General features: G+C 40.7%; 1 protein-coding gene across 2 annotated transcripts in view; it reads right to left on the bottom strand.

The window, feature by feature from the left end:
- VPS13D (vacuolar protein sorting 13 homolog D) overlaps window positions 1-14,439 on the bottom strand; it is a 282,018-nt gene that overhangs the window by 83,446 nt on the left and 184,133 nt on the right. For both annotated transcript variants that reach the window (NM_015378.4, NM_018156.4), the window contains 2 exons: window positions 13,381-13,515; window positions 11,775-11,942 (listed from right to left, as the gene is read on the bottom strand). In NM_015378.4, the coding sequence (NP_056193.2) occupies window positions 11,775-11,942; window positions 13,381-13,515 (303 nt within the window). The remainder of the gene's footprint in view (window positions 1-11,774; window positions 11,943-13,380; window positions 13,516-14,439) is intronic.

Raw genomic sequence — 14,439 nt, 5'->3', positions numbered from 1 at the left:
GAAGGGCACCCCAATCAGAGGCAAGACTGAGTACAAGCGCAAGGGGAGGACAGCACAAGCATGACTGGACAAATGGCGCACAGTCCACTCTCTGTCATGTTCTCTGCACACTTTAAACCTGACTTCTCCAATGTGGCTCCTAGTTTTTGAGCTTATCTTGATCATCCTTATGTGCCTAACTAGAAAATGTCCTTGTTCTTAGGAATGGCACTGGAGGGCTTCCCCACTGGTGTGTAATAGAAAAGGAAAAGCGAAGCTGTAATTCCCCCTTGCCTGCTGGAGGTGAGTGTGATATGCCTGTGCCTGTATCCAGGGACCAACTGCGCCTCCACATCACTACTTCAGGACACGCTGAGGCCTCCCTTCCAAGTCAGGCAGGACATGCCATCATGTGGCTATGAGGAAAGCCAAGGAAAAGCCAGACTCTCACCCGCTTCTAGAAGTACCTTCCTTTTCCTCTTAGGGGGGATTCTCCCTCATCCCCAACACTGTAGAAATTACTTAATGTAATGTCCTGACATAAGCTTAAATTTTCTCCCTACCATCCTCCGCCTCACAAAAACTGCTACAAGAATTATTCTTGTCATACATTGTTTCTTTGTGAACTCTCAGATATATGACTCTGAAATGCCTCATAAAAATAGCAGCATGGTTAATGAACAGTGCAACAAGCCTCTAAGAGGGAAAGATACATTTTTCTCCACCTCTGTTCTCTGAAACTCATTCTGCAGGGAAGGAGAGGCTAACAAGGCTCACAGACAACACTGGCATTGGAAAACCCAACTATAATATGGAGACGATGTTGTGAATCTTAACCTGCAGTATCAGGTTAAGAAGTACAGCTGTCCCTCAGTATCCATTGGGAACTGGTTCCTGGACATGCAGAAGACACCATCCATCCACAGACGCTGAAGTCCCTGATATAAAATAGTGTGGTATTTGTATACAACCTACACACATCTTCCTGTATATAAATCATCACTAGATTACTTATAACACATTACTTTACCATGTAAATGCTATGTAAATAGCTGTTATCCTGTATGCTTTAGGGAATAATGACAAGGAAGAAAACATGTACATGTTCAGTACAGACACAACTATCCTTTTTTTTTTCGGTTTTGATCTGTGGTTGGTTAAATTAATGAATACAGAACCCACAGATATGGAGGGCTGACTGTGCTGTCCAGCAATGTTCCAGGAGTCAGGGGAGCTAGGAAGAAGTGCAAAAGCTCTACCACTTTTTGTTTGGCCATCTTGAGCAAAATTATTTACTTCCACTGGGTCTCCGTTTCTTCATCCATAAAATGGTAACAGGAGTAATAATAATAATAATAATAATAATAATAATAATAATAAAATAATGACAATAATAATACCATTTACCTAGTTTTAGGCTTATAGAAAGGATCAAAGATATCTAAATGCTTTACCAACAACTAAAAATCGAGACAAATATAAAGTGGTATTATTATTCTTCCAATAAGGAATGATGAAACTCTAAATCATATTGTTCCATTCCTCCAAGAAGCAAACCATAGTTCAGTTCAACAGAACTAAATTTATTTATTTATTTATTTATTTCTTGAGACGAAGACTCACTCTTGTCGCCTAGGCTGGAGTGCAATGGCATGATCTTGGCTCACTGCAACCTCCACCTCCCAGGTTCAAGCAATTCTCCTGCCTCAGCCTCCCGAGTAGCTGGGATTACAGGCGCCTGCCACCACACCCAGCTAATTTTTTTATTTTTAGTAGAGACGACGTTTCACCATGTTAAGGCTGGTCTCAAACTCCTGACCTCAGGCGATCCACCCGCCTCAGCCTCCCAAGGTGCTGGGATTGCAGGTGTGAACCACTGTGCCCGGCTGCAGAACTAAATTTAAAACTCTCAGGAATAACACACTCTCCCCAACATTCTCCCTCTGGCTTCTTAATTCAAGCAATGGTGTCACTAAGCATCTGAAAGCCAATCTGTTAGCAGAACTGAGAGACAAAAAATCTACAAAATTTGAAAAGCTATAGGACAAACTAAGGGGAAAAGGGTAAGGAAAGAAAAGGACTACTGGGGACAATGAGTTTATTTTCTGCCTGTAACTGTTAGTGGGAATGCACAACTCTCCCTAATTCTGGGTACTCTGCCCTGAAAATTAAACACTATTATTTTAAAATGATATCCTAGTTGTTTAGAAATGCTTAAAGGAGTGAAGTTCAGGAAATGGCTTAAAGAAATTACAACTTAACACATAGCATTTAGAGGCAGACAGTCATCAGGAAAGTGATCTGAAGCTCACTGTCAGCTCATACCAAAGTGGTCCAAAGCTCTGCTCTGCTTCCCAGGCCAGGCGGGAGGAAAGGCCTGGGGACTGCACATCCCACATGATTTAAATTTGAATAAATCTTGGAACAGGAACATCAGCTTCGTCAGCTTACTCAAATGCTTTTGAGTCATACATTTTCTATTTGAATGAAGAAAAATCTCCCAATCCTCTTCTCTCATTTCAACCCTTTTACACTAGATTAGAGATTTCCAGATAGTAAAGATTAATTCGGAAAACTTAGAAATTACAGTTGGAAAATTCCAAGGCCCAACACAGAGGTGTTAAAGTTGGGAATGAATGGAAGACTGCTTGAGCTTTACTTTTAAGTAATGTTGTTTCCAACGGCTCATGGTTTTGCTTCTACAACCTTTTGAGTTTGGTAAAAGATTATACCTGAGAAGTTGCATTGTGTGGAGGAAAAATAGAGGCTGCCTCCCAAATTAATTTTTTTTGAAAACTTCTAGCTCCAATGAGTCATTATTAAATTTCAATCAAGGTTCCTGAAGAGTCTGAGTCTAATTTTTCTCATCTGTAAAATGGGCTTAATCCTCCTTCCCTCCCTCCCTCCCTCTCTTCCTCCCTTCCTTCCTTCCTTCCTATTGGGTATATGTGAAAGTTACATGAGAGAGCATAGGGAAAGATCCTAGGCCCATATTCGACATGTAGGAGTTAATAAATGATGGCTACACTCTTCACATCGCTGATATTTTTTTTTTTTTTTAAGACAGAAACAACATTGTTCTGTCACCCAGGCTGGAGTGCAGTGGCACAATCTCAGCTCACTGCAACCTCCGCCTCCTGGGTTCAAGCGATTCTCCTGTTTCAGCCTCCTGAATAGCTGGGATTACAGGCATGCACCACCACGCTTAGCTAATTTTTGTATTTATAGTACAGGTGGGGTTTCACCATGTTGGGTCATGCTGGTCTCGAATTCCTGACCTCAGGTGACCCACCTGCCTCGGCTTCCCAAAGTGCTGGGATTACAGGTGTCAGTCACCATGCCCGGCCTGCTTTCTGATTTTTAACCGTCATATTGACCAAGACATTCCCTCTTTCTCCTAAGAATAAACTTTGATTCAGCTTTTCTTCAAGATGGAGACAGACTTTTAGAAAGAACAATTATAAGGTAGAAAGAAATTTAAAAAAAAAATTAGAAAGAACCTTCCAAACAGAGTGAGTGTCTTGAAAATTTTATCTCACTTAAAGTTTGTCACAATTTTTCAAGAAAGGCCAAAGACTGATGTGAAGAATACTGAATCACAGAAAAGGGATGCATGACCACAATGCCAAGGGTCACCAGCCAACCTAAGAAAGCTTGAACACATGATTCCTTTATAAACCATGTTTACACTAGGGTAGAAAACCACTACTTTTGGGGGACACAAATATTTTCTGTCTTTTCAACTTAGCAACTGAATATACTTTTCTACCACACAGGCTCCAGTTTTGGAAGATCAAGTTAATTCCTCTCAAATATGACATGTTCAGGCCTTAAAAAAAAAGAAATCTGAAGAAGCTTGTTCTTAACTGAACTACCATTAGGAAATGAAGAAGTTCTGAACTTTTTCTTTCTGTTTCAAAAACAGGACATCAATAGTGGCATCACTCATTCCCTGCTCTGTCACTTCTGGCTACTGAGCTACCTGATTAGGGTGGAAAAGGGGGAAAGCTAAACCCTGCTCACCTGGCTCCTTCATGAGCAAACTCTGCTCACCTGGCTCCTTCATGCGTGAGGCTGCTCAGTGAGGTACATGGGGACTGCCTGTGAATTTTGGTCACTTGCAGTTCTCATGACACCACTCTACCCCGGCCCCCACAAATACACTTTTATTAGATCCCCCAAGATGGTTGACAGTTGCCCAAGTTAGGGTGAGTCATTCAGCATCTAAAATTTGCTTCTAACCAAAAAGAGCTCAGACTAAGGGAATGATTTTAGTACTCAAAATTATCAGAGGAAAATAAAACAAAAATTCTGATGCCAAAAATTTGAGTCATTTCCCTATGTACAACAACTCGAAGGTACCTCCTCTTGACTGGAAAAGAAATCCCTCGGGTGACTTATTTAGGATCAAAGTCTTTTTGAAAATAGAAAGCCTTACATTCTCTAAGGGAAAGATCACTGTCTGAAGTGAATTTCATTTACCCTGAAGTTTTGTGCCAACTTAAATACACTAAAACCCCAATGCTTATGAGAAGGCATTCACCTATTACTTGCTTATAGGTACATGGAAAAGCTATTATGGGGATAATCAGCTCAACTATAAAATGGAGCAGTCATACATAATGACAAAAACAGATACAAGTCATAAATTGCCTTTTCGCCTTCAGAATCCATGCAGGGACTCACTCAGTGCATTCTTTTGTGCAAAGATAAAATTTTCACCTTGAATAAACATTGCTCTTAGTTTTGTCTGAGCCTTATAAATACAGTGACTGCAAAGTAAACAACAACAAAAAATGCTGTTTCTTAAACAAAAGGCAGATGGGCCCCTCTCTCCTCAACAAGGTCATAGTATATATGATAGAAGGCTGGCTGATGGCAGGGGCTGGCTGAGAGTCTCTGTGCAGGGACAGGAAAGTCAGTTTCCACTGGATCATGGCTAGGCACCAAATCTGGTGTCCTGGGACAAAGGGCTGGTGAAAGGTTTGCTTCGAAAAGAAGCAGCTCCTCCACACTGCTGTCCCAAACAGAAACCAAAGAAATGGAACAAAATGGTATTTAAAGTCCTAGCTAGATTTTCTACTGAACTATCTGAACTGTCTGAATTTCTCGTTTTCTCGGTCTCAACTTGCTTATATTTATCTTCAGACAGTTTTCCTAAAAGTTATCAAAGTTCACTGTGGGACTAGGTAGGGCTTTTTGTTTGGTTTGCTTTTTATTTTATTTTTTTGGTTTATTTGTTTAACACATAGAGGCATGTCTAGAATAAATCTTGTAGTTAAGTGATATCTCAAAAGTCTAATTAAAAATGAGAACTGAGATGCCAGTACAGAAGAGCCAGGTCTCAGCTCTGTAGTGACCTGGCTGATCTTGGGAAAGTCACCTGACCAATCTGGGCCTCAGTTTCTTCATTTACATAATGGGGCTGAAAATGCCCATCTAGCTACTGACCAGGTAATTCTGATGATCAAATGATATCACATGAGTAAAACCATGGTTGCAATTGCCAAGGTTCTTATTGCCTATAAAGAAGACAGTGACAGCCACAACCAACCTAACACGAGAATGACGGTGGGCACCAGCACTTCCTGAGGGCCTGCTTTGTGCCAAGAATGCTACCATAGTGGTCACTGACCAGCTACACAGTGACATCAAATAAGAGGCTTCTGGTGGGAAGTCAGCAGTAATTAATGTTTCATATTCTCTGCAGTGCCTAGAAGAATGCCTTACAAACACAAAGGAAAAACATCCTGTAAGAAAAAAAAAAAAAAAAAGACCTTCAAAATTAGCTGGACTTGGATTCAGATCCACCCCTGTCACCTCTAGCTGTGTGACCTTGAAGACTTAACTTCTCTAACTCTCAGTTTCCTGATTGGCAGAATAGAGCTTAACATACAGAAGACAATGTATATAAAGGGTCTCTCACCAAGCCTAACCAACAGGAGGTGCTCAACAAATGTTTATACATTAGTATGTATTCCACAATGAAGTGCAGTGTTTCAACCCTGTTCCTACACCTTTTCCTACTAATGCTGTTTGTACCAAGAAATCATCTAAAAAATTAGATCTCTGTCAAATTCATAAAAAACAAAACTGATTTAAGACAATGAAACAATGGCTAAAACAACATAGAATAAAATGCATTAACTAAAAAGTGGCAGAAAACTCACATCTCCTTGACAAAAATTTGATCTGCAGAATTTGAGCTGGGAAATTTGGGCCTGGTAGAAATAAATACCACAAAGCAAAAGAGAAAACTACCATACAACTATAAAAGTTATTAGTAAAATTAACATGTAGCAAACAATGAACAATGAATTCTAATTTACATGAATAGCAAATAACCACTATGAAAATAATTTGTTAAGAACACGACAAATTATGAAAATATCTGTATTCATAAACACAGAATCAAAACAAACATGGGATCAAAAAGGTACCCAGAATCAAAAGCATCCTATATTGACTTGATAAAGACATACTGAAGGGGATGAGGCTGGGCGCAGTGGCTCAAGTGTGTAATCTCAGCACTTTGGGAGGCCAAGGAGGGCAGATCACTTGAGGTCAGGAGTTCAAGACCAGCCTGGCCAACATGGTGAAACCCCATCTCTACTAAAAATACAAATTAGTCGAGCATGGTGGCACATGCTTGTAATCCTTGTAATCTCTGCTACTCTGGAGGCTGAGGTGGGAGGATCGCTTGAACCCAGGAGGGCAGAGAGTTCAGTGAGCCGAGATTGCACCACTGCACTCCAGCCTGGGCGATAGAGTGAGACTGTCTCAAAAAAAGGGGGATGGAAAGTAGGACAGAATGAGCAGAGGTTTCATTAGTGATGACTGAAAGTGCTTCTCTCCTTTGCTGGAAGAAATTAAGTATGCTGTTGGCTTTCTTCCCTTAGGAAGACCAGATAACAACGGTGCAGAGCAAACACAGTTTCTACAGGGGCAGAAAAGACAGTGGGATCATTTGCTCTATTGTTAATATCTGAGATTTTGTTAATTTAAGAAGTACTTTATTTATTTTGTTGAGGATAGCTATGTATGTGAAAATATCACACAAGAATGAAGGTAAAAATGAAGCTAGAGTCTATAAGAGAGGAAATTTCATCAATAGGGGGCCCTCCCAGTTCTCTGCCTTTAAAAGATGTTAGAGTGTCTTGCAGATATTCTTCACATGACACACAACTAGAAGAAAGTATACTTTTTGCAACTCATGCTGCAGAAAGAAACTTTCTCCTCTGACATGGGTTTGGAATATGAAATGCTGTCATTTTCTTAAATAAATCACATTCAGAGAAGACCTTCCAGAAGCGATTGCCTTGCCATGACCTCAGGAATGGGATCAGATCTTTGAAGTTCCGCTAAGGGCTAGAGTCATCTTGCCAAGACCCAGGCAGGGGAGTCATGGGTTAGATGCTCACAATTTGGTGGCTAAGACTTAAATCTTACATTTGAATCCATATGCTGATTTCTAGCGTTGGGAGATGAGAAAGAAAGGCAAAGAGAAATAACTGAGATAAAAGGGCATAGGTTATTTCCTACTTATATTTCCTTGAAGCCAGTATTAAATAAATTAAACAACAGAGATGAAATGAGACGTTTCTTTTGCAGGAACGCTCTGGGGGGAGAAAAAAGAAATGAGAAATTCCACAAGTGGATACACTATAGACCTGAAATTTAAAATTTGTGCATCTATCCACAGATGACTAAACCCTACAGGTCTATTATCTTCTTATGTGACAGAATGAATTCCTTTTAACTCCTCACTGGGTTTCATATACTTCATCTCTTTTGCTCCTCAGGCCAGTGTGACAGGGGGAGTTACCATCATCTTTTCATAAATGTTAAAAACAAATCTCTTAACAGAGGAAAAGATTATTTAAAGGTAGAAATACAATTAAAGTGCTGGCAATCCTGACTACCAGCCCCAAGCTCCCCTCAATGTACAAACGTATGTCTATAATAATGGCTTACAATCTTTGGAGGCAAGAATCTCTCCCTGAGGATACAAAAGAAACATTGGACCCTCATCCCAGAAAAATGCACATTTATACAATATTTACAATTAATTTAAGAGGTTTATGAACTTCTCCACTACACTCAAAGCCCATTCAACCAGGCTAAAGCCCTCTGGTCTTTGCAGTAAAGTGCAGTGCACTGGCAGGGGCTCAATGAGGTGCAGTTCTGTCCCCTCTGACCCTTTTTTAATCACTGGAACTCAGGCACTCTTTAAAGCAATAATTGACACAGGCCAACAGTTGATTCTTGTGGTCATTTGTACTTCCTCAAACTCCTCTGGTCTACACAGAGAAACAAATAAAACATTCCCCTAAAACAACTTTAAACGTTGATTTCAACCCACAAAACTACAAGAAAATGCACATCTTTAGTCCAACCACATACGTGCAGAATCACAGATGACCTGAATGGGTATTCAACTGATAGACCCATTTAGATCTACCATTTCCTATAAGAAGTGGTCATTTTGTGTTTATTTGCTTTCTCATCTTAGAGATATAACTAGTTTTTACATCTCTATAAACACCTAAGATTGCTGGTATCAAAATACAGTCATGTGCCAAATAACAATTTGGTCAACTACGGGCTGCATATACGACAATCCACCCATAAGATTATAATACCATACTTTTACTCTACCTTTTCTAGGTTTAGATATCTTTAACATGCTGTACAGTTTTGCGGCCTAGGAGCCGATAGCCGAGGTGTGGAATAGGCTGTATTCCATCTAGGTTTGTGTAAGTATACTCTATGATGTTCGCACAGCAATGAAATCACCTAGTAAAATGATTCTCAAAATGTATCCCTGATGTTAAGCAATGTGATATAGTATGGTGTTTGTCCCTCAAATCTCATGTTGAATTATAATCCCCAATGTTGGAGCTGGGACCTGGTGGGAGGTATGTGGATTACAAGGGTGGATTTCTTATGAATGGATTAGTACCATCCCCTTGGTGTTCATGATATTGAGCAAGTTCTCATGAGATCTGGCTGTTTAAAAGTATGTAGCACCTCCCCCTTCTTTCCCTTGCTCCCACTCCTGCCATGTGAGACACCTGCTTCACCTTCCACCATGATTGGAAGCTTCCTAAGACTTCGCCAGAAGCAGATGCTGGCATCATGCCTCCTGTACAGCCTGCACAACCATGAGTCAATTAAACCTCTTTTCTTATAAATTACCCAGTCTCAGGTATTTCTTTAGAGCAAAGCAAGAATGGACTAATACACAATCTATGCCTGTAAATTACATAGCAATCCCCTCAGCTGCAGCCTGTGGCTCCAATACTAGTAGCTTATTAAAGGCAAGACAACTATATGAAGGAACCCAACCCCATGGGAAGGGAAGTTCCCATACCAGAGGACTCGTTCCCTGGAAAGCAATACCCTTATATAAATCTGGCAACATACAAAGCATGATACCAAATCAAATGTATTATCACTGCCCCCAGGCCTTCATATAGATCCAGGATGAGGGTGGGGGTAGGGAGGACACTGCCCTTTCTTTCTGCCTAAGTTATAATCTCATGCTGACCCTCAAGCTTCAAAAACAGTTTTTCAGGGAAAACAGAAAAACCAGGAAACAAACGAGACTTCCACAAACCAAGGAGAATAAAGGGCCAATCCTTTCACTAGGATGTTGCCAGGAGACCCTGGAGAAACTCCTAGGAGGTCTCTCCTGTTGAGATGTCACAGGCACTTGAACAGCTTCTTCATTCTTAACCCAGTGAACTATGGAGGTTCCTAAGAGTCAAACTGGCCCTGATGGGGTTTGACTCTCCTACTCTCAGTGTCCCAGACCCTCCTTCTCTGTAGTTCATAATAGATTGGTTTTCATTTCAAGAGCACTAATGGCTTCCTGGTGGCTCAAGTCTCCATGCAAATACTACAGTCAAAGTAATGACCTATTTATCTTCTTCACTCTGTATTTTTCAAAATTTTTGTAACGTCATACCTTATTTTGTTCTCACAATAAACCTGTAAAGTAGGTGCATTTCTATTCCACAGTGAGGAAGTCCTATTGTTAAATCATAAGCATCTTCATTTTTAAAATTATGGTAAAGCCCAGGGTACAAAAACAAAGAAATTATAAAACCAAGAAGACTTTCTTATGTCAATTAGAATTCAATAAAGTTAATAAAATTTAATAAAATATGTTAACTGGGCATTTACAACTAAATATTTAAGTTCATTCATTTATATCAAGTCCAAGAGCTAAAGCAAGAAGAGTGAGGGATCTGTGTTACCACTATGAGGTTTTATGATGCGTGAGGGGTAAGGGAACATGGGAGTGTGAGAAAGGATTCAAGGCAGAAAAGTACACGCTAGTTCAGACTTTGAACCTGAGTCTCACCACTTTCAAACCATGAGTGGGAAAGTCTCTCTAAAAGACTGTTGCTGTCTGGGTACAGTGGCTCACACCTGTAATCCCAGCACTTTGGAAGGCCGAGGTTGGTGGATCACTTGAGGTCAGGAGTTCGAGACCAGCCTGGCCAAATGGCAAAACTCCGTCTCTACTAAAAAATACAAAAAATCAATGGGGTGTGGTGCCGGGCACCTGTAATCCCAGCTACTTGGGAGGCTGAGGCAGGAGAGTTGCTTGAACTCGGGAGGCAGAGGTTGTAGTGAGCAGAGATCACACCATTGCACTCCAGTCTGGGCGACAGACCAAGACTCTGTCGCGAAAAAGAAAAGAAAAAAGAAAAAGAAAAGACTGTTGCTTATTTTGAACCACAAGCCAAACAGTACACTTTAGTCTGGTTCAATAATCCTACAGAACTGATCTGACCAATCTATCATCCCTAGAAAATAGTTTGGGGAAAAAAGAATAAATTCTCAGCTTTCACACATTATTAACGAGAACACCATACCACAGAGAAATGCTATTCAACTCGACTCTCTTACCTCCTCTTCAAGATACATTTCTACGCGGTGCCACAAAGATCTCTTTGGTAAAGCTACTTTTATGTCATATCACCCTGTGGCGCAAGTACACCTGTGATCTCACTACAAAAATGCTCTCTCCACAGTAAATAAGCAGAGAGTACAGGTGTTTCCTCCAAATGAGTTCATTCATGAAAAAGCCAGTCTCTACAAGAAAAGTGTGTTGAGATGAAAGGAAGAGAAAAAAAGCAGAGCTCTTTGGAGGGCTGTATGTCAAATAGCAACTACCTTCAACTCGCTTCACCTTTTCCAGCTTCGCATATAATCAATTCCTGCCAGAAAATACAGAGTGAACTAAGAAAATGTCCACGAATTAAGATGTCAGTGAACAAACCAGTCAACTAGCTGCAAGATACTGGAGAATGACATCACTGTCCATCTGCTGCTGGTTTCAGGTGGCTTAAAAGGTTGTTGTCATTATAGAAGGCTGTACTTCAGCTTGGACTTTCCCTGTAAACTGTGGGCAATAACTGGTAGATCTCAGGCAGGAGAATGGCACAATCCAGTGAGTTCATTCTGGTGGCACAGTGAAAGGTGTAGGGGTCATCGTGAAAGGTCCAGGGTGCTGGGGGCTATTGCAGTGACCCAGGTAAGACATACGCAATGCCTGGACTAAGGCAGTGGCAACGGAGAGGAAGGAGGAAGAGGTATTTCAGAGGTGGACTCAGTGCACCTGGTGGCAGGTGACTGGAGGTGAGGAAAAGGCAAGGCATGTGGGCAATGAAGCAAAAGCCATGAATATAACTTTTCACAGCCCATTAACTATAAAAGAAATTGTAGTACTGTAGAGGACTCGTGAGGTTAATTATAATGGAATTTCACCTCTATTTCCTTACCTTGGCAGCAGAGTTTGATACTCCGTGTGTAACATTTCTGATGAGGCCCCCGACATTTCCATATTTTATCAGTCCAGTAACCCCTTCAGAAACATCATTCAAAAGCCCCATAGGATTGCCAAGAAAATCCACTGATCCCAGGATTCGAGCTGCCTGGCTGAGGAGTTCCTGCCAAATGGAACAGGAAGAGAAAAGTCCAATCAGCATCTACTTATATTTGCAGATACCAGTGTCCCAAGCGAAGAGCTTAGAAATCTATTTTGTTCTCCATTCTCATTACTACAAGTAACGAGATTAAAAGCTTTTAATCTTCATCAACTGCAAAATAATCTCCTGTCCTTTCAGGAGCACCACCTAAGCTTCTCCCAATACACATATCCCAATACACATACTCTTCCAAGCCAGTTAGAAGAATAAAAATAGCTATGAAACAGGAAGCATTCTTATGAGTATTTGCTACTATATACATCATACTCTCCTTTTCATCATGCCTACAAATAGAGAAGTAATCACCAGCAGGGAGAATTACAAAAGGAAAGTGAGGAAGAGAGGTAGATTTACAGTTCCTCTCATAAGCTGTGGTGTGGGTGGGGGGCCTGAAGAAGGCATGGAGAGACTTATCAAGCAAACCTCCACTGTTTCTTTCTCTGAAGCAGGGTCTCAGTCACACAGGCTGAGGTGAGGTGGCATCACCGTGGCTCACTGCAGCCTTGACCTCCTGGGCTCAAGCAGTCCTCCTACCTCAGCCTCCCGTAGCTGGGACTACAGGCAAGACCTCTACAACCAGCTAATCTTTTTTTTCTATATTTTGTAGAGATGGGGTCTCAATATGTTGCCTAGGCTGGTCTTGAACTCCTGAGCTCAAGTGATCCTCCTGCCTTGGCCTCCCACCAAGTACTCGGATTACAGGTGTGAGCCACCATGACTGGCCCCTCCACTCTTTCTGTACTTCCAATTGCCTGATCCCAGGTTCCAGTGATATCTGCTGTATCACTTTCCTTAGTTAGGTGGAAATATCACCAATTAGGATAGTCAAAAAAGGAAACGGGGAATGGAGAAAAGGAAGTGAGAATAAAATATATTTTAACTTTGAAAGCTATTAAATTTGATACGATCTTGACCTATCTATTCATTGAAGATTATGCCTTGCCTTTACTTTTTGATCTTTGCAGTCTGGATAATAAATACAAAATGGAAAATGTCCAAGGTGATTTAAAAAATTTCAAGTTCAACCCAAATGCAGGATCCCACAGACTCTAAGAACATGGGTGTAGTTGCTGAAAGAAGGCCCATGCCTGGTAAATAAAAACATTATTTTGTTATTATTAAAGCATCAACTAAACCATTAAGAGTCATGATTAATCTAGCAGGAACCCCTCAGACTAGCTCTGAGGGATGAAACTAACAGCTCATAGGTCAAATGTACTATCTCAGGATTTTCATGACACATACGGGCTTCTTGGGAAGTGACCTGACCCGTAACACAACAGAGTTGAAATGTTTAACTGGGTTCTCAATAGTAATGCCTTAGTAACCAAAATTCCCAAACAACTAAAACAAACATTCTGCTTATGCTCCAGCCAATGATTACTTCTCCAAGCCTCACCTCCTGGAAATGTTTGAGGATATCATTGATGATGAACTCCTTGGTCTCATAGGGATGTACCCGAGTGAATGGATCTAGATTAATCACAGCGTCTTCAAACCGTATCAAAGGAAACCCCAAGGTGCTTTTTAGGGCCTAATTAGGGAAGAAAGGAAATGACATACTTAAGTCATATGATGGCCTTCTGTGATACTATAATTCTAGATTCCATTAAAGCTACAAGTCATGTTAACTTTCGAATGAGGGTCAGGTTTTGATGTTTATAAATAAGGATTTTCCCTATAACTATAAAAGTAAAATACTAGGGAAAAATACATATATAGACAGACATATATCACCCAAGTCACATGTATCACACAGAAATAAACACTATCAGTTTGTGTCATAATTCCTTTTAGTCTGTTTTGTATCTGTTTGTCATGTTTTACTTTTTGACTGATGTAAACCACACACACAGAAAAGTATACTAATCAAATGTATAGTTCAAAACCCAAATGATTTTTCCCAAAGTGAACACAATAATGTAACCACCACCAGATCAGAAAGCAGACTGTTATCCCCATCTTGGAAGCAGCCCACTCACCATGAGCATGCTCCCACTCCCTCCTCCTTCCTCCCCAAAGACAACCACAGTGATGACATCTATCACTACAGGTAAGTTCTTCTGCTTTAAACTGCATATAAATGGAATCATCAGTATGCACTTCGTTGTAGGTGGCTTCTCATAGACAACATTACATATGGGGGTTTCCTAGATTGTTGCATATAGCTGTAGTTTGTTAACGTCCATTGCCATATAAATACTCCATTGCAAGAATAAAACAATGTATTTAACCACCATTGTTGATGAAAAGTTCAAAAGTTGGGTTGTTTCAGGCTTTTTGATATTATGAATAATGCTGCTATAAACAACATTAGACATGTCTATGGCAGACTAGATAACAGGTTCTCACTCTGTTGTCCTGGCTGGAATGCAGTGGCACAATCACAGCTCACTGCGGCCTTGACCTCCTGGGCTCACGCGATCCTCCCACCTCAGCCTCCTTAGCAGGTGAGGCT

The sequence above is a fragment of the Homo sapiens genome, chromosome 1 (genome assembly GCF_000001405.40).
Source record: "Homo sapiens chromosome 1, GRCh38.p14 Primary Assembly".
NCBI lineage: Eukaryota > Metazoa > Chordata > Mammalia > Primates > Hominidae > Homo > Homo sapiens.
The sequence above is the reverse complement of the archived record's forward strand: the minus strand, read 5'-3'. Positions and strand labels throughout refer to the sequence as shown.